Source organism: Homo sapiens, chromosome X (assembly GCF_000001405.40).
Source record: "Homo sapiens chromosome X, GRCh38.p14 Primary Assembly".
Lineage (NCBI taxonomy): Eukaryota > Metazoa > Chordata > Mammalia > Primates > Hominidae > Homo > Homo sapiens.
The window spans coordinates 129,773,967-129,797,073 of NC_000023.11; the positions used below are offsets into that span (position 1 = coordinate 129,773,967).

At 51.1% G+C, this 23,107-nt stretch overlaps 1 protein-coding gene and 1 long non-coding RNA gene across 3 annotated transcripts, besides 8 other annotated features; one reads left to right on the plus strand and one right to left on the minus strand.

Annotated features, from left to right (window-relative positions):
• Positions 1,475-1,524: an enhancer, noted in NCBI's record as "active region_29923". NCBI's record gives its function as "activates an Ori minimal core promoter by ATAC-STARR-seq in GM12878 lymphoblastoid cells {active_cell/tissue: GM12878}" and the evidence as "EXISTENCE:reporter gene assay evidence [ECO:0000049][PMID:35858748]".
• Positions 2,864-2,953: an enhancer, noted in NCBI's record as "active region_29924". NCBI's record gives its function as "activates an Ori minimal core promoter by ATAC-STARR-seq in GM12878 lymphoblastoid cells {active_cell/tissue: GM12878}" and the evidence as "EXISTENCE:reporter gene assay evidence [ECO:0000049][PMID:35858748]".
• Positions 4,609-8,568, minus strand: LOC124905215 (uncharacterized). The gene is made up of 2 exons (XR_007068328.1): positions 8,497-8,568; positions 4,609-6,313 (listed from the first exon to the last, which is right to left on the minus strand). It is a non-coding gene; the product is annotated as an uncharacterized LOC124905215 (long non-coding RNA).
• Positions 5,734-5,893: an enhancer, noted in NCBI's record as "active region_29925". NCBI's record gives its function as "activates an Ori minimal core promoter by ATAC-STARR-seq in GM12878 lymphoblastoid cells {active_cell/tissue: GM12878}" and the evidence as "EXISTENCE:reporter gene assay evidence [ECO:0000049][PMID:35858748]".
• Positions 5,983-21,235, plus strand: SASH3 (SAM and SH3 domain containing 3). 2 transcript variants are annotated; one of them, NM_018990.4, is made up of 8 exons: positions 5,983-6,188; positions 14,009-14,104; positions 14,465-14,611; positions 16,974-17,115; positions 18,362-18,510; positions 18,661-18,870; positions 19,023-19,173; positions 19,676-21,235. In NM_018990.4, exons 1-8 carry the CDS (start codon positions 6,132-6,134, stop codon positions 19,864-19,866), a joined length of 1,143 nt encoding a protein of 380 aa, NP_061863.1. In that variant the 5' UTR covers positions 5,983-6,131; the 3' UTR covers positions 19,867-21,235. The 2 variants fall into 2 exon arrangements, with proteins under 2 accessions (NP_061863.1, XP_006724826.1); XM_006724763.1 differs by having other exon boundaries at positions 18,362-18,870.
• Positions 6,144-6,223: an enhancer, noted in NCBI's record as "active region_29926". NCBI's record gives its function as "activates an Ori minimal core promoter by ATAC-STARR-seq in GM12878 lymphoblastoid cells {active_cell/tissue: GM12878}" and the evidence as "EXISTENCE:reporter gene assay evidence [ECO:0000049][PMID:35858748]".
• Positions 6,274-6,333: an enhancer, noted in NCBI's record as "active region_29927". NCBI's record gives its function as "activates an Ori minimal core promoter by ATAC-STARR-seq in GM12878 lymphoblastoid cells {active_cell/tissue: GM12878}" and the evidence as "EXISTENCE:reporter gene assay evidence [ECO:0000049][PMID:35858748]".
• Positions 7,601-7,780: an enhancer, noted in NCBI's record as "active region_29928". NCBI's record gives its function as "activates an Ori minimal core promoter by ATAC-STARR-seq in GM12878 lymphoblastoid cells {active_cell/tissue: GM12878}" and the evidence as "EXISTENCE:reporter gene assay evidence [ECO:0000049][PMID:35858748]".
• Positions 7,891-7,940: an enhancer, noted in NCBI's record as "active region_29929". NCBI's record gives its function as "activates an Ori minimal core promoter by ATAC-STARR-seq in GM12878 lymphoblastoid cells {active_cell/tissue: GM12878}" and the evidence as "EXISTENCE:reporter gene assay evidence [ECO:0000049][PMID:35858748]".
• Positions 11,438-11,527: an enhancer, noted in NCBI's record as "active region_29930". NCBI's record gives its function as "activates an Ori minimal core promoter by ATAC-STARR-seq in GM12878 lymphoblastoid cells {active_cell/tissue: GM12878}" and the evidence as "EXISTENCE:reporter gene assay evidence [ECO:0000049][PMID:35858748]".

The following is a 23,107-nucleotide window of genomic DNA, read 5'->3' on the forward strand; positions in this document are numbered from 1 at the left end:
GTCACTTGCCCAAGGTTATGCAGCCAGTAGGTGACCATACAACAATCTGAATCCAATCAGGACAACCTGACTCCATTTCTGAGAGGTGTTCTGTTCCTCCTCTTCCCTGGAGCCCTGGACAATTGTCCCCATGGGGGAGGGGCCCACTGATCAGAGAGGTTTGTCCTTGTAACCTTGGGACAGAGATTTATGCAGAGTAGCCCAGCCCCTACTTGTCCCCCATAGAAAGTGCACCCCCCCACCAGTGAGTCATGAGTGTGTTTTAATCTGAGCACCAAAGTCCAGCCTCCTCTTCTGATGGTAATTGACAGAGCTACCAGCAGGTGTTTTTTGTTTTGTTTTGTTTTAAAACCAAGACCTTATCACGAGTTCAGAGTTCCAAAGATCACTGTCTTTCCCTCCCCTCCCATCAGCCCCTGCCACCAGATGCCCACTCTGTGTGTGTTGTATGTGGGCATGAGGAATGGGCGCAAGAGTCACCTGCCCTTGTCTCCTTGCTTTCCTCTGCCCGCCTTCTCCCTCCTGCAATTTTGCTCTTTCTGCCCTCCCTGCCTAAAATGACCACCATTAAATTTGCTAATGGGCCGGGCTACTAAAGTGGGCTTCACCTTGGAAATGTCCAGGTATTTTCAAGAAACTATGTGGCCTCTGCTTGGATATTTCTTTTTCTTTTCTTTTTTTCTTTCTTTTTTTTTTTTTGGTTGTTTTGTTTTGTTTTGTTTTGTTTTGTTTGAGACAGAGTTTCACTCTTGTTGCCCAGCCTGGAGTGCAGTGGCGTGATCTTGGCTCACAGCAACCTCCACCTCTCAGGTTCAAGCGATTCTCCTGCCTCAGCCTCCCAAGTAGCTGGGATTACAGGCATGTGCCACCATGCCCGCCTAATTTTTGTATTTTTAGTAGAGACGGGTTTCACCATGTTAGTCAGGCGGGTCTCAAACTCCTGACCTCTGGTGATCCACTCACCTGGGCTTCCCAAAGTGCTGAGATTACAGGTGTCAGCCACCGTGCCCGGCCTACTTGAATATTTCAAGAGATGGGGAGATCATTACTTACCAGAGCTGAACTAGTGCCATCTGAATAGCCAAAATTTGTTCCTTGGAATATACTAAAACCTTCCATTTATCTGTTCCCCATCATTCATACCACTTGCTTCCCCACCCCAATCACCTAGGCTAAATGTGACAGGAGTTTAGTACTTCACACGTTGACGACTTCCCTATACTTCACCCCCGCTTAATCGACCCTAGCTATTGCAGCTTTGCAGATGTGATGCGACTTCCAGATGTCCTCCCCATCCTGTTCACTCCCCTCTGGGCCTGCTTCAAGGTGGCTCTGTGGCACCTAGTGTGGCACCCAAACCAGCATCAGGTGCCAAGAGAAGGCTGCAAGCCGAGGGCTCCATAATTCTCTCACCTCCCCGTTCAGGAACTCCGCATCAGAGGCACTTCAGCTGAGTGGTTAGTTGTGTGGGCCCTGGCCAAGACCAGACCTGCATTTAACGCTGGGCTCCACTGCTTACTAGCTGTGTGGGCAATTCACTTAACTCCTCTGGGCCTCAGCTTCCTCCCTGGAAAATGGGGATAACAATAGTGCCTGACTTACCAGGTTGTTGTAAAGCCCACTGCCTGCCATGAAGTATAATAATTTTCAGCTAGATGTGGGGACTGGGGGGAATGGAAATAAGAATCTTTGGGGGCCGGGTGCAGTGGCTTACACCTGTAATTGCAGCACTTTGGGAGGTAGAGGCAGGAGGATCACTTGAGGCCAGGAGTTCAAGATCAGCCTGGACAACATAGGCAAAAAAAAAAAAAAAAAATTAGCCAGGAATGGTGGCACGTGCCTGTAGTCCCAACTACCCGGGAGGCTGAGGTGGGAGGATCATGAGCCCCAGGAGTTTGAAGCTGCAGCGAGCTGTGACCACACCACTGCATTCCAGCCTGGGCAACAGAGGGAGACCCTGTCTCAAATTAATTAATTAATTAATTAATTAATTAATTAAAACTTAAAGAATCTTTTGGGAGGTTTTTCCAGATATAAGTATCTCTCACTATCCAAACTCTTACTATCTCAAATTAGAAATATATCCATTCAGAGAGTGAGAGATGCTTTTGTACATGGTCTGGATCTTACCTGCCCCAAATATCCCACTCATGATCATCTACTAAATAAGAATTTCTTGGCTGAGTGCAGTGGCTCACACCTGTAATCCCAGCACTTTGGGAGGCCAAGGTGGGCAGATCACGAGGTCAGGAGATCAAGACCATCCTGGCTAACATGGTGAAACCCCGTCTCTACTAAAAACACAAAAAATAAGCCAGGCATGGTGGCATGCGCCTGTAGTCCCAGCTACCCAGGAGGCTGAGGCAGGAGAATAGCTTGAACCCAGGAGGTGAAGGTTGCAGTGAGCCGAGATCGCGTCACTGCACTCCAGCCTAGGCAACAGAGTAAGACTCAAAAAAAAATTAAATTAAATTAAATTTAAAAAAATACTTGGAGTGTGCTGGTGTGGGAGCTGCTTTATCTGAATGTGGCCTACGATGACCTTTGTGTCTTTGGTAGTCCTACATCCACCCTCTGAGGGTTCAGGTTGATTTCACTATCAGTGGAACCCCAAAACACACACACACACACACACACATACACACCCTGCAATCCTGCAGTATTGGCGCTAAATCAAGGTTCTTCTGCCCCAAATCTATACTTCTGGATACGTCTTTATATTAAACTACTCGCCTCCAGGGGTTGTGGTGGGATTAAACATCTGTCAAGTGCTTAATGTAGTGCTTGGTAAAGAACAAGTGCTGGGTAAATGTAAGCTTGCCACTCCACCTAGGATGTCAGCTCCCAGGTACAAGGGGCCCTGATGGCTATTTATTTTGTACCTCCTCCCGAGGCCTAGCACAAGGCTGTGCCCACAGCAAGTTCCTAGGTTCTGCCTGCCGGCCCATTATCAAGTTTAAGGTGACCTTGTTCCCTGAACTACTGACTCGTATCACTTCCTTAGCTGAGAGCTCTGCGTACCTCAAACAACATAACCTGTAAAATGCAAATATGTTACCCAGAAGGGAAAATCTATTAAACACATGTTTAAGGGTCATTAGCCAGCAAGGACCTGGCCTATTGGGATTCAGCCAGGGCAATCTGTTGGAAGAGAAAAGCTGGGGGAAGGCAAGTCCCGATGGGGGGTCCTGGACACCCCGCCTCCACTGGCCCCGGTCCCCAGGTGGCGGGGAGGAGGTGTTCCTGAACAGAGGAGACAGATCTGAAAAGGAGAACGAAGGAAGCCGTTGAAAACACTTGCTCCCTTCTGTCCTGGGAGCTGGTCACCTCTCCATATTTCTCTCCAAGGCACCCTCACCTCCCTCTCGCTGCCTTTTCCCAAGCCTCGCCAGCCCTGTGCCCTGGTTTGCTGGCCGCCTTTGAAGGTTCTGCGGTTAGTGTGTGATCTTCTGTCGCTGCCGGCGCTGAGCAAACAGGAAGCGGGCACATCCTGCGAGGCGGCCAGGGACGCAGCCGCTGCGCAGGCCCGGAAGATTCTGCGACCTGCTTCCTCCCTCACGGCTCTGGCTCCAGGTGCCCCAGGCCACTACAGCGGCGTCCCCAATCCCAGAACCCTCTGGGGCTGCCCTCCTGCTCCTGGTCACGCAGAGCCCCAAAGGCCCGATGGGTCCCCTACACGGCTGCCAGGCTACTGTATATGCCGAAAAGCCTTAACCAGTTACCGCGCTTGCTAGTGACCCTGGGCCGCCTGGGAGGGACTTTCAGGGTGGAAAACACAGGCCAGTGGGAAGGAGATCTGGGGTGTGGAATCTTTTCATGAGTCTGCCTGGCCGACTGAGTAGGCCAAAGAATGTATGGTTTCAGCTTAGGGAAGAAAGATCTTATCTTCCCTGAGCTCACCCTGAAGGTTGGATGGTCAGAGGGCATAAAGCAGAATCGGAGAGGAAGTCACGAGAACATCTTGGGAACAGGGGTGGACAAGCCTAGTATTTCACAAGTACCACAGAATTGAAAGCCTTAAAAATGTGCATACCTTTGACCCCAGCAATTCCTCTTCTGGATATTTCCCCTACAGAAAAAAAACTATGGATGTGAATATTTACCATAAGTATGTTCAATGAATAATTTAAAAATTTAAGCCAACCCAAGTTCATCAGCAAGGGCTTGGTGAAATAAGCACGGCACATCCACACAATGGGATGTTCCACAGCCGTTATAAATTACGTAGTTGAAGACTATTTCATAGCATGAGACAATCTTGATACTGTGTTCAGCTGGACGTAGTGGCTCACGCCTGTAATCCCAGCACTTTGGGAGGATGAGGCAAAGAGGTCACTTGAGACCAGGAGTTCAAGACCAGCCTGGGCAACATGGTGAAACCCTGTCTCTACAAAAAATACAAAAATTAACCAGGGTGGTGGTACGCACCTATAGTCCCAGCTACTTGGGAGGCAGAGGCACAAGAATTGCTTGAACTCAGGAGGTGGAGGTTGCAGTGAGCCGAGATCACGCCACTGCACTCCAGCCTGGGAGACAGAGTGAGAGACTCCATCTCGAAAAAAAAACAAAAAAGATACTGTGTTTAGTGTGAAAAGCAGACACCAATAGTGTGAATTATGACCTTTTTTAATTAAAAAATTTTAAACAGCTTTATTGAGGTATAATGGAGCTACAATAAACTGCACATATTTGAAGTATACAATTTGATACGTTTTGACATGTGTATTCCCCCATGAAATCATCACCACAGTCAAGATAGTGAACATATTCATCACTCCTAAAAGCTTCCTGTTACCCTGTGTGATGTCTCCCTTCCCTTCTCTCCCCTCCCCTTCTCCCCAAACCAATTATCTGTTTTCTGAGCAGTATGATTTTTGTAAAAAGAAAAAAAATGTTTATAGACAGAGAGTAGATAGATGCTTAAAACAGTGTAGAGGACAATGATGGGAAATTTTGAAATTTTTTTTGTTTATGTGTTTGTGAAATTGTATGACAAATACAAGTTGCTTTTGTAATACCAAGAAGTTATTAAAGTTATTAAAATCTGCCACAGACAACCCACAAATTGAATATACTGCATAGGTGTTTGATAAATGCCTGTTGGATACTTGCTAGAGGTGTGGAGTTGGCTGTAAGTGCTTTTCAGCTGTGGTGGTGATAAATATACTCATGATGGCTGAGGGGTACTGACTGGAGGGGTGACTGCTCTAGTGATGATGGCTTTAGGTGTACTGATGGCTGTAGGAGTGATGGCTGCAGGGCTGATGGCTGCACGGATGTGATGATGGTTGTAGGAGAGATGACTGTAGGGACGATGGTTATAGGGGTGAGAGGGTCATGAGTGCGGTTGGCTGTAATGTCCAGAAGGGTGACAGCTGTAAGGATGATGGCTGGAAGGGTGATAGCAGCAATGGTGATGACTGTAGAGGTGATGGCTGAAGGATGTCAACTGTAGAGGTGATTACCATAGTGACAATGGCTATAGGTGTGCTGATGGCAGCGGGGATGGCTGCAGGCCTGATGGCTGTAGGGGTGATGGCTGTATGGTGATGGCTATTGATAGGAGTGATGGTAGCAGTGGTGATGGTCACAGGGGTGATGGTAGTGGTAGTGATGGCAGTGACGACCTTGAAGACGTGAGTTGACCGGGAGCATTGATCCAACAGGCAGCCAGATGGTCCAACTTCTGGTTTCTGGATTCTGGTCAGTGAGATAAAGGGCTTGGGTACGCCATATAATGTCGAGCTGATTGTCCACCTCTAGGAAGATGGAGCAGAAGGACTGATGATGATCGACATGAGACAACAAGGTAGGGACTTTCTCTGACTGTTCAACCCAAGAGCCGTCTGCATCAGAATCTCTGGAGACTGAAGCTTGGACTTCCTTCCTCCCTAGGGGCCGGCAGGGGCTGCGATTGCTGTAAGAGTAGGTCACGTGGCAGGGCTTCCTGTATGCTGCTGCTGCCGGGTGTCCATGGCCCGCACCCCCAAGCTGCCACTGCAGCAGTCAGAGTGGCAGCTGAAGGCTCGGTTCATGCCGTGCCCCCGGGCAGTTCTGGTGAGGCTAAGCAAGAGGCCTCTGCATCTTGACACCTAGGAGAGCAGGGACGGAGTCTCCCAGGGTGGAGGACCATGCTGCGCCGCAAGCCCTCCAATGCCAGTGAGAAGGAGCCCACTCAGAAGAAAAAGGTGAGGAGCATTTTGGGAACTCACATCTTCCTTTCCTCTGCTTGCTCGACCCATCCCTTCCAAGACTCTTGGAAGTGGGAAGAGCCAAAGGCCATATGTTGAGTCTGTAGGTGAGGGCCACTCACCTAGAAGGCAACGGGACAGGGACCCAAAGGTTAACAGAAGTACAGAAGAGATGTTTAAAATTCTGGAGCAACAGAGTTACAGAATAGATCCTTAGAAATCTAGAGTCATGCAATTCAACCCTAGAAGAATGGGAAAAAAGATCTAAAATTAGGGGCCAGAATCTTAGACTAGAATTTGAGAATAACAAAATACAATGCTTAAGCTGAACCCTAAGCTTGTACTTAACTATCTCTCCTCTACGCTGGTCCTGCTGCCACTTCTGCCCCGGCCACGGCCTCTCAGGAGCCATCTCACTCAAAGGGCCCTGCTGGGCTGCCCAGCTTGGAGCCATGATGCTCACAGGACTGCCACCCCCTCCTCCACTTTGGCCATGGCCCAGACCCTGCCCACTTGGCTCAGCTCTGTGGTAGCTCCCAGGCCCTACCCGAGATGGAGCCAACCTGGAGATGGGGGCCTGAGGCCATTCCAGTCTTGGGGGAAAAGGCATCCGGAAGTGCAGTGGGATGCAGGGGGCATACAGGTTCTTCCTGGGTGGGGAATGAGAAATTAAGTTGAGGTGGTGAGTAGGAGTGAAGGCTGAGGAGGGAGGATTTTAAAGGCCAGGAGGAAAAACAGCTGTCATGGATGGCTGAGGTGTTCATCCCCCTGGGGCAGAGACCGGACTGGAAGAATCCTTGAAGGCTGTGCCAGATCTAGGATTTTGTGGTTGAATTTGAGGATTTCCAGATTTCTTTGGTTGGGTTTGAGGATTTCTAGACCTAATTCTTTAATTCAATTGAAGGATTCTCCCAGACAATCAGCAAGTATATCCTACACATCCAATGGGATGCTAGGACAGTCCCAAAGCAGGCCTGAACTAGGTCCAAGAGGCCCAGGCTATCCCCCGCCAATTTTCCCTGGAACTCAGCCCAGGTGCCCTATGGTGGATCCCCCTTGTCAGGGGAGTAGCTCAGAGATGGAGGCCAAGGCAGCTGAAAGACTGAGACTCGGGGCAGTGGGGTGTGCATCCTGCCCCAGCTCTCAGGTCCTGGGGTGGCTGCCACTTCCGGCTGTATTCTCCCCACCCCAGCTGCTTCTCTAAGGTTGCAGTGGTGGTGGGCGGGGGAGGGGGGAGGTTCATGAATCTTCACACGGGCTCTGTCATCCCCGTCCAAACCCTGCAGGGTGCTAGGCCCAGCAGGACTGCCATTGGCTGCCACTCCTAAGAGAGCAGGGCCACTTCCCCTTGCTCTCTGGCTGGTGGGGGTGGGAAACAGAGATTGCTCTATAGACACTGCTAGGCCTCAAACCACAGGGGCGCTGAGCTGGAGGAAAGTGTGAGAAAGAGCTGACACTTTGACACTGGGACCCTGTGCCACATCAGGAAGACGTACCTAGGGGCACACAGAAGCCAGAAGTCCCCTTTTTCTTTCCCAGCTTCAATTACCCAGATTCTGTGTTCGGCAGGCAAGTGGGCCCCTGGGATTTCCCCAGGTCTCTCCCAGGAGAAGGGGTCCTTTCGGGGAGAGTAGTCCAGGCAAACCCCACCCCAACCCCTGCCAGAGCCGGTGCCAGCCTCCAGAGCTGGGATGAGCTTGCCTCCACACACTCTGCTAGCCCCAGACTATGGAAATGTCCCCCAGAAGCCAAGCTTCCAGAAGGTACAGAGCATCTTCCCCAGGCCCAGAGGCAGCGGGCTGGCTGAATCACTGCTAGTCCCTTCTTCTCAGAGGCTGAGATGACGTGGTGGAGAGGAAAGCACAAAGGCAAGAGAGGCCTCTTTCTCCTGCCCCTGCTTCTCCTCTTGGGCCTGCCAATGGAGAATGTGCCAGACAGGGGGCAAGAAAGCTGAGCTGGAATCCTACCACGCTCTAGCTGTAGGACCTTGGACAGCTCATTGACTTTCTTTGGGCCTCAGTTTCCTCGCCTCTGAAAAGGAGGATAACTCCTAATCTGCCCCCCTCAAGAGGTTGTACAGATCACCCAAAAGAATAGATGTGAGAGTACCCTGTCACAAGTGTGCACGTGCATACCACACAAGGGGGTGCCTGCTGTAGGCATGGGTGGGGATAGGGAGACACTGCAAAGAAGAATGAGCCATGCCCCCAGTGCTGGCACAGAGAACACAAGACTTAATAGTACTAAGAGCCACCACAGAGTGAGAGCTCATGGGATGCCAGGCACGGTGCTGTGCATCTCTTACCTTGTTCACTCCCCACGACAACCTGGTGAGGTAGGGGCAGATATTGTCATTATCCCTATTTGACACTTGAGGCTCACAGAGGTGAAGCAACTTGCTGAAGGTCACACAGCTGGGAAGCTGCCGAGCAGGGATCCAAGCCAAGATTTGTCTGACTCCAGAATCTTGACCCCTTCTCTCTCCACTCTCTTGTCCCCTTGTTGATCTCAAAGGCGCTAGAAGAGTCTGATGAGCATAAAAGATTCAACCCATCAGCAGGAGAGCTCCGTGGGGCAGACCCAGATAGCTGTGGAATGAGTGACCTTCCAGCCAGCAGAGCAGAGGAGGGTGCGGGCCCTCTAGAATGGTAGGGCTAGGACATGGCGCCTCCCATGGATCGTGAAGGATTGGAGAGGCCCCAGGGTTGGGAGACAGACCTCTTAGCTGCCCTTTGGAGACTTTCACTTCCTTCAAGTTCTTGCTCTGCAAGCCCTTTGATCTGATTTCACCCAAAGGCCAGTGTTGGGGTATAGGAAGTGGAGAGGGATTTTTCCTGGACTTGGTTCCCCTAAGGATGCTCCTACTCTACCACATCCCCACTTTCTCCATGGCTCCCTTCCTACAGCACACCTCTAGTATGACCCCCACACCCTGCCAGCATGCACTTTGTATTTTCAGTGGCTCCTCACTGCCCACAGGATACATGCCCTTGGCCTGGCGGGCAAGAGCCTTCCATAGCCTTTTCTACTCCCCCACCCACCATCCCATCATCAGGCTCTCAACGTCTCTAACTTTCATTCTTGTTCAAACCCTTCCGAGCTCCACCTGGAGAAATCCTGCCTCCCCTGCATGGCCCAGCTCAGATATACCTCCTCCACAAAGCCCCGCCAGAGCCCTTCCCCCTCTGCACTCCCACCTGCTTTCCTAGGAGCTCTGTTCAAAAACCACCTGCATGCCATCACCACTACACTCAATCCACTGCTAACTTCTACACTGGTGGGGCGGGGCAACAGCATGAGCTCTGAGGTAGCACGAGCACAGCAACATACTTGGGTTTCCAGAGTCATAGACCTGGGTTTGGAGGCTTGCTCTTCCTAAGACCAGCTGCGCCACCCTGCCTAGGGCACTTCATTTCGCATCTTGGTCTCCTCTGCTTCGAGGTGCGAATATGATGCGGGGCTGCGATGAGGCTGGAGTGAGCTGGCACACAGGAAGTGCTTGGCAGGACACGGGCATGCGGGAGGAGTTTAGACCCTCATTGCTGGATTCTCACACACACAGAGGTAGGGCCTAGAGCTCACAGGGTGCTCAGTATATGCCTGATACCCTGAAGGAGCAGAGGGGGTAGCTCAGGAGACCACTGGGGAAAGCCAAGTTTGCTCAGGAAGTAAGGGAAGAGGATGCTGGCTGGGGCAGTGTGGACCTCTGAGAGATTGATCAGGGCATGGTTTCTGCATGGATGCTGCCTTTTAAGCTGGAATTGAAAAATCTTTCCATAGAAGTATAATATCCATACAGAGAAGTGGATAAATCATAATTGCGCCACCGAATGAGTTTCTATAATGTGAACATCCCCATGTAGACAGCACTTAGATCAAGAAACAACACTCTCAGAAGTCTAGAAGCTTCCCTCATGCCCCTGCCAGTTACTACACCCCCCCCTTCCCCCAGGGCAACCGCTATCCTGACTTCCAACAGCACAGGTGAGCTCTGCCAGGCTTTGAACTTACAGGGGGAACCATATCGTGTATATATACTCTTTGGTGGCCAGCCCCTTTACTCAACCATATGTTTGTGACACTCATCCATACTGTTGGGAACAGTTGTACTGTCTCCTACCTGGGTACTATTCTTTTGTGTGACTCTGCCACAATTAATTTATCCATTCTACAGATGATGGGCATTTGCGGGTTTTCCACTTAAATTGGAAGGGTGAGAAACTACGGCTGACAGAGAGAAGGGCAGAGTATTCCAGGTGGGGAAATGCCCAGGGTAAGAGGCTGGAGGTGGGGTGTAGGAAAGAGTAAGCATAAACCTACATTCCACAAGGGACTGCCGTGTCAGACAATGTTCCAAGCACTGTAGGCGTACTCGCTCATTTCATCCTCACAACAGCCAGATGAGGTCGGTGCTTTTGTCTTCATTCCACTAATGAGGAAACAGAAACCTAGAGAAGTTAAGAAACATACCCAGTTTACACAATCAGTGGCAGAACCAAGATGGGAACACTTGCCCTGATGTGAAGTGGGCTTCAGAGAGGTTCGATAACTTGCCGGAGGTCACAAATCCAGAGTTGAACTTCTGAGAAAGCTTCCCTCATGCCCCTGCCTGTCACTACATGCCCCCTTTCTCCCACAGTAACCACTATCCTGACTTACAATAGCATAGGTGAGTTCTGCCAGGCTTTGAACTATAATTATACAGGGGGAACCATATGGTGTATATATACTCTTTGGTGGCCCTACATTTCAAATGTATTGTATATTACATTTGAAATATATATTGAAATATATATTGTTGAGTATACTCAATGTATATTTCAAATGTAATATACAATACAATACATATATACAATACAATACATATATACTCAACAATATATATTTCAATATATATTTCAAATGTAATATACAATACATATATACTCAACAATATATTTAGTATATTTCAAATGTAATATACATTTGAAATGTAGCTCTTTCCAAGAGGCCCACACATTCCCCTGAGCCATGAAGTGAAAAGGGGGCCAACAGTGTATGGTACCACCTCCCCCGTCAGGCACGACTCCCAGGAAGTCCTCACTCCAAAGGGAAGCCAGCAGAAAAGCCAGCCAGGCTCAAGAATTTCAACTCAACCCTGAATGGGGGTCACCTCTCTCTGAAAGGCGGTCAAGATACTTGGGGCTGTCCCTGAGGTTGGAGGTAGGCTTGGCAAAATGCCACCCTGGAGGGCCCTGAAACTCGATCACCCAAAGAACATGTGTTTGTCCTTTCCATCTCCCTGGGCTGAGAGTAGCCAACTGGGCCCAAGACCCAGCACCATCTCTATAGTCCTTTGTGATTATCTCCTCCCACTTTGGACTAAAACTGAGACAGAGGGACCCTCGCACAAGGGTCTGGGAGCCAAAGGCCTTTCCTCCCAGCCCCCAGACTGCAGATTAATGACAGGAAAAGGCCTTGGGAAAGAGCTGCAATTAGAGGGCAGGCAGGCAGTGAATTTACTCTTCCCCAACAAAGCCGACTTCCGGCCCCATGCCTGCCCTCCTGCTTGCTTTCCAGCCTCACCAGTCCCCAGGGTTTCAGGGGCGACTCTTAGCCTCCTGGTCTGCAGATCAGGCTGAGGGTTGGTGGAGAGAAGGCCACAATAGGCCCCATCGGCCTATAAATAGCAGCCCAGCCTGCCCTCCTTGGGCCCAGGCCAGCCCGATGCCCACCCTCTCTCCGTTCCCTCTTTTCCATGCAATAAGAGGAGGAAGTTATCCAGGCAGCTGCATCCTAGCCATACAAGAGGAGGAAATAAATGGAAGGTGGAGGAGAGAAGGGGAAAGAAAGGGAGAAAAAGAGGAAAGAATAGTGGGAGGGGACAACCAAGAAAGGAAGATGGAGGAGATGCAGGTGAACCAGAGTGGTCACCCTGTGGTCATGCTTCCCCTCCCCCACACCCACCTATGGCCCCCTTTTCAGCTCCCCAGGGCAACACAGAGGAGGCTTTCTGACAGAGGCTGCAGGCACCCCACCCATCAGGCCCCAATCGTGCTAGCGTCTGCTTGGCCTGACCACTGACCTAGTTTCTCATCAACTACCTTGCTGTGACTTTTAGGAATGTGTGACCCCTGACCCCCAATTGCTGACTTGGCTTTGGTCAAGACCCATCAAGAGTACTAAACTGCTACACTGCAGTCCCCAGGAGTTGGGGCCAATTATTTGTGTGTGTGTTGGTGGGGGACAGGTGATATTGCCCCTGCCCTGGGAGTTTGTCACTGGACACACACAACCCCTTTAGTAGGAAAGAGGATGTGAAACCTTCAACGTTGTGTGGGTTTGGGGCTTCAGTTCCTCAAGCCCTTATCTCGGGTGTCTGCAGTCTATCCCACTCTATCTGTCTGGCCATCTGTGAACCCTGGTTCCTGTGTGTATCTTCTGGTCTTGACTGTTTATCTTGATACAGGCTCAGCCTTAACTTCTTGTGTCGAGGGCCTGTCCCCCTTACCTGCCTTGCCCTGGTTTCTGGCTGCTACCTTGCATGTGCATGCATATATATTTAAGAAAGCTCACTAGACTGGGCTCGGTGGCTCACGCCTGTAATCCCAGCACTTTGGGAGGCTGAGGCGGCAGATCGCGAGGTCAGGAGATCAAGGCCATCCTGGCTAACATGGTGAAGCCTCGTCTCTACTGAAAATACAAAAAATTAGCCGGGCCTGGTGGCAGGCACCTGTAGTCCCAGCTACTCAGGAGGCTGAGGCAGGAGAATGGCATGAACCTGGGAGGCAGAGCTTGCAGTGAGCAGAGATCTCGCCACTGCACTCCAGCCTGGGTGACAGGGCGAGACTCCATCTCAGAAAAAAAAAAAAAAGGCAAGCTCAGCCGGGCATGGTGGCTCACACCTGTAATCCCAGCACTTTGGGAGGCCGAGGTGGGCAGATCACCTGAGGTCAGGAGTTCGAGACCAGCCTGACCAACATGGTGAAACCCCGTCTCCACTAAAAATACAAAAAATAATAATAATAAAATAAAGCTCATATCCTGAAAAACATCTCATCAACACAGACCACAAACAATAATAGGTCATGCCTAAAAGTCCAAACACTGGCAAACGTCACTATTGCCAGCTCATCACATTAGTGGCTAAGATTAAAAGCTGAGAAGAAAAAGAAAATGGTGTCTTTCTTCTACCAAATTAGCCCCAATCACGTATGTCCTAAATCTGTGGGCCCCTTCTGTGAATAAGCCTCTACTGTGCTTTTCCAGAAAGTGTCATGCCAGGTCTTGCTGGCTTCTAGTCAGATTGTCTTGCTCTTCTTGGGACACAAATTCATCAGGCTGGAGACCCCAGTGTGTTTGTTCCTATCACTGTGACTGGGGACCTGGCTCAGAGTACACCCAGGACATGGAGGCCAGAGCCACGGGTTTTGGGAGGGATTTGCTCAGTTACACACTGGGCGATGTGCTCATGGATGCTGAGGTATGTCTCTAGTAGTAGATACACATTTACTCTGACTCATGTAGTCTTTCACTCCAGGATTCTGGGGACCAAACTTGAGGAACTGGTGGAATTTCAGGCTAAGTCTGAGGCCCGATTGAGGTGTGAAGCTCTTGAGGTCAGGAACTTGGTCTGTGGCCAGGGCTGGGGTGAAGAATGGAATGAAACCAGGTAGCCCCAAGAACATCGAGGTGCGTCACCCATTAGCCTGGGGCTCCCATGGCAATGTGGCTCTGTCAGCTCTGGGCTGTGGGTATTGTGTGGTGGGGGGAGGCGAGTATGTGGGCCCTCGGGCAGCCATTTAGCCCACTGATTGCAACACCCACCCTTTTTCCAGCTCTCCCTTCAGCGCTCCAGCAGCTTCAAGGATTTTGCCAAATCCAAACCCAGCTCCCCCGTGGTGAGCGAGAAGGAGTTTAATCTGGATGATAACGTGAGTTTCAGGGCATCCTTGTGGGATCTGGCTGCAGGCCCTGGGCAGGGGGGTGGGGGTGGGAGGGAAGAGGGTGAAGAGGAGATAGAATTGTTGGGGCGAAGCCCCCTTTAACACAGAGGGTCCACCTCTCCCCACACCAAGCACTCCCCTGCATTCCTTTCAATTATACATTAAATAGCAAACTATTTATAAATTTATAGGGCTAAGGACATGGCTGGGGTTAAGAGGGGAGGGGATGGGGGCCTCTCAGTTCCACCCCCTCCAGCTTCTGCTGTGACCCCAAGGCCTCTTTTGCCTCAAGTCCCGGACCTAGGCAGGACCACCAGGGTCCCTGGATCGCCTCTTTTGTTGTCACAGATTCCAGAAGATGACTCAGGTGTCCCCACCCCAGAAGATGCTGGGAAGAGTGGCAAAAAGCTGGGGAAGAAGTGGAGGGCAGTGATTTCCCGAACCATGAACAGGAAGATGGGCAAGATGATGGTGAAGGCCCTGTCAGAAGAGATGGTGAGGCCTGCAGATATAGGGGATGGGGTGTCCAGGGGGCCTGGGGACCGCTCTGGCAGAATGTGAGCATGACCACCTCAATAGCCACTACTCAGGCCGGAAGGCCCTATTTGATGCAAGAAGGAAGGTCACATGGGAGGGGAAACTCACTTGCAGCCACGGACAGGCAGCCAGGCAATCTTGACGGGGCAGGAGGCTGGCGGGGGAAGGGGTGGAGTTTGAGAAGGGATGAAAGTCTGGGCAACAGGGCTGGACATGGTGGCTCCTGCCTATAATCCCAGCACTTTGGGAGACTGGGGCCGATCACTTGAGGTCAGGAGTTTGAGACCAGCCTGGCCAACATGGCAAAACCCCATCTCTACTAAAAATACAAAAATTAGCCAGGCGTGGTGGCACATGCCTGTAATTCCAGCTACTCAGAGACTGAGGCAGGAGAATTGCTTGAACTTAGGAGACAGAGGTTACAGTGTGCCAAGATCGTGCCACTGCACTCCAGCCTGGGCAACAGAGCAAGACTCTGTCTCAAAAAAAAAAAGAAAGAAAGAAAGAAAGAAAGAAAGAAAGAAAGAAAGAAAGAAAGAAAGAAAGAGAAAAAAAAAAAAAAGAAAAGTCTGGGCAAGGGATGCTTCTTGAGGAGGCGGGCCTGGGACAGGGGCAGCTTGAGAAAGATGAAATGGCCTGAGGCAATCCATCCACCTCAAAGCTTTGCTTTGGAACTTCCCCGGGATTGGGAAGGCCTATTTTCTCTCATAGAATCCCTATGAGAGAAAACAGATTGGGCACAGTGGCTCACACCTGTAATCCCAGCACTTTGAGAGGCCAAGGCAGGTGGATCACCTGAGGTCAGGAGTTCGAGACCAGCCTGGCCAACATGGCAAAATCCCGTCTCTACTAAAAATACCAAAACAAATTAGCCAGGCGTGGTGGCAGGTGCCTGTAATCCCAGATACTCGGGAGGCTAAGGCAGGAGAATTGCTTGAACCCGGGAGGTGGAGGTTTCAGTGAGCCAAGATCACACCACTGCACTCTGGTCTGGGTGACAAGAGCAAAACTCCGTCTCAAAAAAAAGAAAAAAAAAGAGAGAAAACAGAGAAGGCTGGCTTCAGCCCAGGGAGGAAAGTTGGCACAGGCAGCTGTGGGGCAGGCATGACCCAAGAAGCTTAAATCACACAGTGGGTTTGGGTTGCCATGGCTCTAAAAGGAGCCACTGAGGCAGTGGTGTGCTGGAGTTGGCTCGTACTGGGCTTATACCAGCTCACAAGAGCAGTTGGTCAAACTGTCAAAAATTGTGCAAGCCAGTTGTTAAACACAACCATTATTAAAAATCAAATTAAAGAAACTTACAATTCAGTTAATTATATTTTTTTAAAAAGGTAAACTGGGCATGGTGGTGTACACCTATAATCCCAGCTACTCAGGAGGACGAGGCAAGATGATTGCTTGAGCCCAGTAAGAGTCCAGCCTGGGCAACATAGGGAGACTCTGTCTCTAAATAAATAAATTTAAAAAAATAAAATTTTGTAAAAACGAACAAAGGTAATACAGTAAATCTTCAAAACTCATCACTTCCTAATTCTTGTACTACCTTTTACTCTTATCAATGCTGCTGAGGTTACGTGCATCCATAGCATCTTCATGGTGGCAATAGCCTCACCCTCATTTCAGACAACACGTCCAGTGATGTCAAAATGGTAGCTTGACATTGGCCGTGGAGGGGAGTGTTTACAACACAGGAATTGGCAACTCATCAGGGCCAGCTGTTAAACAGTTATCACCTCACTGAGGTGTGGTGAGGTAGGGGGAGCTCTGGAGTCTGGCTTGGTTGTGGGTTGCCTTGGGACTTGAACCTGAATTCCCTTGGCCTGAGTTTACAGATGAGGAGTAAGTAACCCTTGGGCCTTACTCCTCATTTGTAAACTCAGGCCAACAATACCACTTACCTTCAAGTGTCACTGTAAGGATTCAGTGAAATGGCAGGCAGGCCTGGCACACAGAAACACAGGCAAAAGTAGTTTCCTCTCTAGCGACATTGTCTGCCCAGTTGTGCGGTAGCAATGGTTGAGTCCAGGTTGTGCCACCGTGGTCTTTTCTGTATGTACATCGGCACTTGAGGCTGACAAAAGCACATCCACATGGTGCCCTGGTTGAACCTGTTTCTGTGAGGTAACCAGGGCAAGGACTGTCACTCTCATTTTTACAAAAGGGGAAGAAACTAGGGCTCAGAGAGTGCCATTCAGCCTATAAGTGGTAGAGTTGGGGTTTGAGCCAGCCCCTAGCTCTTCACTAAGCCCAGGCCCATTTCTTCAGCTTCATGCACACCCCAGCAAGGCTCCTTAAAGCTTCCCGCCTACCCTCCCTGCAGGCAGACACTCTGGAGGAGGGCTCTGCCTCCCCGACATCTCCAGACTACAGCCTGGACAGCCCTGGCCCTGAGAAGATGGCGCTGGCCTTTTCTGAGCAAGAGGAGCATGAACTTCCGGTGCTCAGCCGCCAGGCATCAACAGGTGAGTAGGGGATGCGGGGGACACCTGCCGAATCTGGAGGAAAGGACTGGGTTACAGCCGTGCTGGTGGCACACTGTCTGGGCGGGGGGTAAGAGAAATGAATGCTTACTCTTTGCCTGCTGGGAACATTCTCAGTCCTCTTCACATTAAATCTTCTCAACAACCTCATGGGGCCAGTACTGTTATCCTTGCTTTATTGATGTGGAAACAGGGTCTTAGGGAGGTTAAGTGACTTGCCCAAGATGACCCAGTCTTGAACTCAGATGTACCGTAGAGGAACTTCCACTTGCTATCCTCAGGCCCCGGAGAGGCCCACGGGCAGAGGAAGAGTCTCAGTCACCCTCTTGGACCAGCCCGTCCCCACCTTTCCAAGGGGAGCTAGAGGCTACAGATCCCTGGGCCTCTGATGCCCCAGTCGGGGGTGGGCGTATGAGGTCTCCAGCTGTGAAGAGTCAGCCTCTTGACCCTAGACCATAGTTGCTGGGCTCAGGGCATCACCTGGCATCTTCTAGAAGTCCATGGGACAGGACAAGAGGTGCCAGCAGGGAACTCGTCCAGGCAGGGGCTTTGGGTTCTGCAGCCCCATTCAGCACCGCCTTTCTTGCCCCTCAAGTCCACTCCAAGTTTCCTGCTTTCTCTGCCTCCACAGACACTTCCCTGCCCCCGACTGAAAATCATTCAAAATGCCCACTACTCTGTACTTCCCAGGGAGAAGGAGCCCAACTGAGTTTCTATGTGACATTGTAACTACACATTGAGTTAAGCAGGGAAAGTCAAATATGAATGCAGGGCATAGCTTCCTGGGTGGAGGGAGCGTTGGAGTGGGTATCAGGGAACATGGAGTCTAATGGACTGACTCAGTGCTGCCAGTTATAAAATGAGAAGCCTTGAGCAGTTCACTTGGTCTGTGTGACCTCAGATTTCCGCATCTGTTCATTGGAGTGTTGGCCCAGTTGTTCTCTAGAGGCCCTCCTAATTTGCCCATTCTTTGGTCAGTGAGCCATTTCTCCTCCCATTGCCAACTCTTTTCATGTCCAAGGGCCCAGAGGTGAAGCCGTGCTCCTGGTCGGTAGCCAAGGGGGTGGTTCAGAATCCCTTCTGCAGTGTAAAGCTTGCCAGAGCCCAGCTGCCTTCCCGGTGTATACCCTTGGGATTTCTAGGCAGGTCCCCTGGAAGGCACCTGCTAGGCACTGTCTCAGCTGTTCTAGGACAAAGGTGAGCCTCCTCCCTGCCCCATCTCCTGCAGGCAGTGAGCTCTGCAGCCCCAGCCCAGGTTCTGGCAGCTTCGGGGAGGAACCACCTGCCCCCCAGTACACAGGGCCTTTCTGTGGCCGGGCACGAGTCCACACCGACTTCACTCCCAGCCCCTATGACCACGACTCGCTGAAACTGCAGGTAAGATCAGCATCCGGGCTTCTCTGGAGCCTGGCAGGCTGTGCCCAAAAAGGAAGCTGGACTGAACCAGGCTATGACAGTGTCAGTGGAGGCCAAGGCCCCCCATATCCTCTCTCCCTTGCTCCCTTCTCCTCTCCTCTCCCCCAACAGAAAGGAGATGTGATCCAGATCATTGAAAAGCCACCTGTGGGCACGTGGCTGGGCCTACTCAATGGCAAGGTGGGCTCTTTCAAATTCATCTATGTGGATGTGCTGCCCGAGGAGGCCGTGGGGCATGCCCGCCCCAGCCGCCGACAGAGCAAGGGCAAGAGGCCCAAGCCTAAGACCCTGCATGAGCTGCTGGAGCGCATCGGCCTGGAGGTTTGAGCTTGGTCCTCACTAGTATCTAGTATCAGGGAGGCACAACTGCCCCAGGGATGGGGACCAGGAAATGACAGCTATGCGTAGTTGGGGAGGACCTAGGCAGGGGTGGCTGGTAAGCAGCTGTGCCGATGGCCTGCCTCTGCCTACAGGAGCACACATCCACCCTCCTGCTCAATGGCTACCAGACACTGGAAGACTTCAAAGAGCTGCGAGAAACACACCTCAATGAGCTGAACATCATGGATCCACAGCACCGGGCCAAGCTGCTCACGGCCGCCGAGCTGCTGCTGGACTATGACAGTGAGTGGCTTTAGGAGCGGCCTGGTGAGGGTGTGTGCCCACCGGCATTCCAGGGAGGGGAGGCTTGCCCTGGCCTTGCCTTCTGTCCACGCTCTGCCCTAGGACTGCTCTGCAGTGGAAAGGTACTTTCCACTTGAATTAGAATTTCAGGGAAAGTGTACGGGAGAAAGGAGTTGTAGGGATGATTGGGCCCAACCTCCTTTGGATCAAAGGGGACCCTTAAGGCCAAAGAAGGCAAAGCCTTACTTGAGGCCTCAAAGCTGAGTAATAACAGAGCCAGGATTCAAGCCCACTGCCTGGCTCCAGCTTAGTGCTAAAGAAGTGTGAGCTCCTGGACTGCAGAGCTGGCCTGGAAACAACTCCTACCAGCTTCTAAGCTGGAAGCAGTGAGGAGAGGGGCAGGGCGGTGGCAGGTGCCCAGAAGGAGAGACTGCCTATGGTGTATTTCCCAAGGTCCCTACCTCCACCCCCATATTCTGTCTCCCTCTCTCGTCCCTGGCAGCTGGCAGTGAGGAGGCTGAAGAGGGCGCCGAGAGCAGCCAGGAGCCAGTGGCACACACAGTGTCGGAACCCAAGGTGGACATCCCGCGCGACTCAGGCTGCTTTGAGGGCTCGGAGAGCGGGCGCGATGACGCAGAGCTGGCAGGCACTGAGGAGCAGCTGCAAGGCCTCTCCCTGGCCGGGGCACCTTGAGGTGGCGGTGGCAATAGGCCAAGGCTGGGACCCAGCTGCAAAGGCTGTAGGAGTGGGCCCAGCCTCCCGTGGTGGCCCAGGTCCTGAGGACTGGCACTGAGCCTGGCCCTGCTTCCCCAGGGACACTTAGGGCCACAGAGGCCAGGCCAGGGCCCTACAGGTTCCAGGCTCAGCTGGAGTGGTTGGGGAGTCGCCCAAGGGCACATCCCACCTGCCTGAGCCCCGCCCTCCACCAGCGACTGACAGCGCAGCCCCTCCTGGCACCAACTGCTCCCCTGCCATGGCCACGGCCACAGCAAGTGGGGCACTGGGAAACCCTGCCCATGTCCCTCACCAACAAGGCCTCCAAATCCTCCTCACCCCCACACCACCTACCCCTGTCGCACTGCTCCTGAAAAGGGGGCCAAGTCAATGTTTCAGGTCAGTCTAAAAACCCTAGGGAAGCTGGCCATTTAAAAGAACCCAAACTGACCATGGGTAAATCCAGTTCCCCTAAATAAGGCCTGAAGAAATCCACAGGTACCATTCCCACTTTCCTTCTCCCTAGCTTTCTTAGAGGTTTGGCCACTAAATCTTATGAGACTTGAACCAAGTGGCTTCCTCTTTCTAGGCTTAGGACGGGTTGGGGTTAGAAAGGGTGATCACTGAAGGCCTTGCCTGCTCTGACATTCTGTGACATTAAATGTCTATTCTCCTGTTACCTGTGGCCTGGGACACCAGTGGGGTTTATCGAGGGGACCAGAGGGGCCTCAGGCTTTCAGATGAAATGGCTCCTCCTACTCACCCACTTTATTCCTCTCCATGTAATTCAGGACAAGCTGCAACTTCCCCCAGCTTAACACAATGCCCATACCTCATACGATATGCGCCCTCCCGTTCCATCCCTGGCCCCCTCAAACGAGACTTCTCACAAGGCTGATTACAGATGGTCAAACCTGGCTTCCAAGGACAGAATTGCCTCTCGGAAGCCAGCTGTGGATCTGAGTCCAGAGTTGGCCACTTGTGTGGGTCCTCACAAGCAAAGAGAGCACTAAACTTGACATTGGGGGTCCACCACTCCAACTTTGCTTTCTGAAGGTTTTGGTGTACATTGAGCCCCAGAAGGAAAGGAGAGTATCTGTGAGTGGGGGCCTCCCTTGACCCCAGTACGAAGTCTATGCCCTGAATCCCCAGAGTAGCCCTTCCTGGTGCCCAACTGGCCTGGGGACAAACAGCGTCCACTACATCTAGGACTGCCGGCTAAGTGGACACACTTCTTGACCTCCTACCAGGAACTTTGGTAAAAGCTAGCTTTGGGGAAGGGGTTGGGTGTAAATATGAGAGGGTGGAGGGAGACCAGCTGGTAGCAATAAACATGGGTAGAACTAAATTACCGTCTCCAGTTATCTTTTCTATGGAGAGAGTGTTGTGGGGAGGGGCAGACCGGTCTCCTTCAAAGCTGGCCTCAGCAAAGTGTCCCTCACTGTCCTTTCAGGTCCATCTTTCCCTTCCCTTAAATGTTCAGTGCCCTTGACTCTGCTGACCTAAAGCTCCAGTCTGAAGCCCTAGCTGGCTCTGCCCTCCCCTCTAACCAGCCCTCCTCAGAACAAGGCTCAAGCTCCCATGACCACGGGCTTTGCTGGGGTCCAAGAGGTGTAGGGGGGAATGGCTATTTCCCTCATCCAATAACTGTTCATTTTAACAGGGCCCTTAAAGACCTTCACCCGTGTGAAGAAAGGCCTGCACTGAGGAGCTGTCCAGGATCTAAGAGGGGGAGATTTGGGGTCAGCATGGCCTTTCCTCTGAAGTCACCTTTTCCTGGCCCCCACCCTGTACCCACTAAAGCAGTGCCATCTCCTGGGAGGTAGGATGGAGATGAAGACCTCTAGCTTCCTTTCTGTTTCTGCCAGAATTAACTGCATTGGGCATTGGGAAGGGGGTTACTGGAGAGAGAGCTGCCACCAGAGTGAGGACGAGGCCACTTGACTTCCAGGCCTTGTTCTCAGTTGCATTCATCCCACCACCCTTAGTGACTGGGGGTGCCAGGAAACTGCAAGCATGATCCTCACCAAAGATATAAGAGCCCTAACAGCCTCAAAGCCCCAAGGGTACTGAATAATTGCAGTCATTTAAGGAGCACCTCCACTTGTGCCAGGCACTGAGCACTTTACATATAGCATCTCCTGTAATCCTCACAGTGTCCCCCTGAGGTGGGTGCCCTCATCATCCCAGTTTACAGAGGAGGAAACTGAGGGTTGGGGAGGTTGAAGAAGTTGACTAGAAAGTAACAGAGCAGGAGTCTTCCTGACTGCAGAACCCATGTTCTTAACTCCTATGCTACAATGCTTCTCCAAAGGCCTCATCCAACAAGCATTCAAAAGTCCTGGGCACTTTGGAGGGCAAGCTGACTCTCTGACCCAGCCATTTCCCTTCTAGAATTTAATCAGCCACATAAGTGCAGAAACAGCCACATAAGTGCACAAATACCTATGGACAAAGATATCTACAACAGCTCTGTCTGTAATAGTAAAAAATTGAAAACAATGCAAATGGGGAATTAAATGCTTTATGGTTTGTTCATATACCACGCAGCCATGACACATGATGTTGTAGAAAAATATTTAATAACATGAGGAAAATCTTTGTGTTTTTTTATTCTTTGATTCTATTTATTTTTCTAGAGACAGGGTTTCGCTCTGTTGCCCAGGCTGGAGTGATGTGGCACAATCATAGCTCACTGCAGCCTCGAATTCCCAGGTTCAGGTGATCCTCCCACCTCAGTTTCCTGAGTTAGCTGGGACTAGAGGCATGCGCCACCACACCCAGCTAATTTTTGTTTAGTTTTTGTAGAGATGAAGTGTAGTTATGTTGCCCAGTTGCCCAGGCTGGTCTCAAACTCCTGGGCTCAAGCAATCCGCCCGCCTCAGCCTCCCAAAGTGCTGGGATTACAGGCGTGAGCTACCACACCCAGCCTTCAATTTCAAATTTGAAAATTACACAAATAATGTATAAACATTTTAGTTGTAAAATAAATTTGTGTTATAGCAAGGGGAAAAGCAAATCCTAAAACATTATTAATAGGATGATTCCATTTTTATTTTAGAAAAGGAGAACATATACATAGAATAAAGACTATGAAGATCTGCACCAAATGACTACTACTGGTGATCTTGTGAGGCGTGTGGGGTGGGACTAGGGGAGTGAGGGAGAAAAATGCTCACTTTCTACATTCTTCTTTTATTTGCACTTCAAAAGTATTATT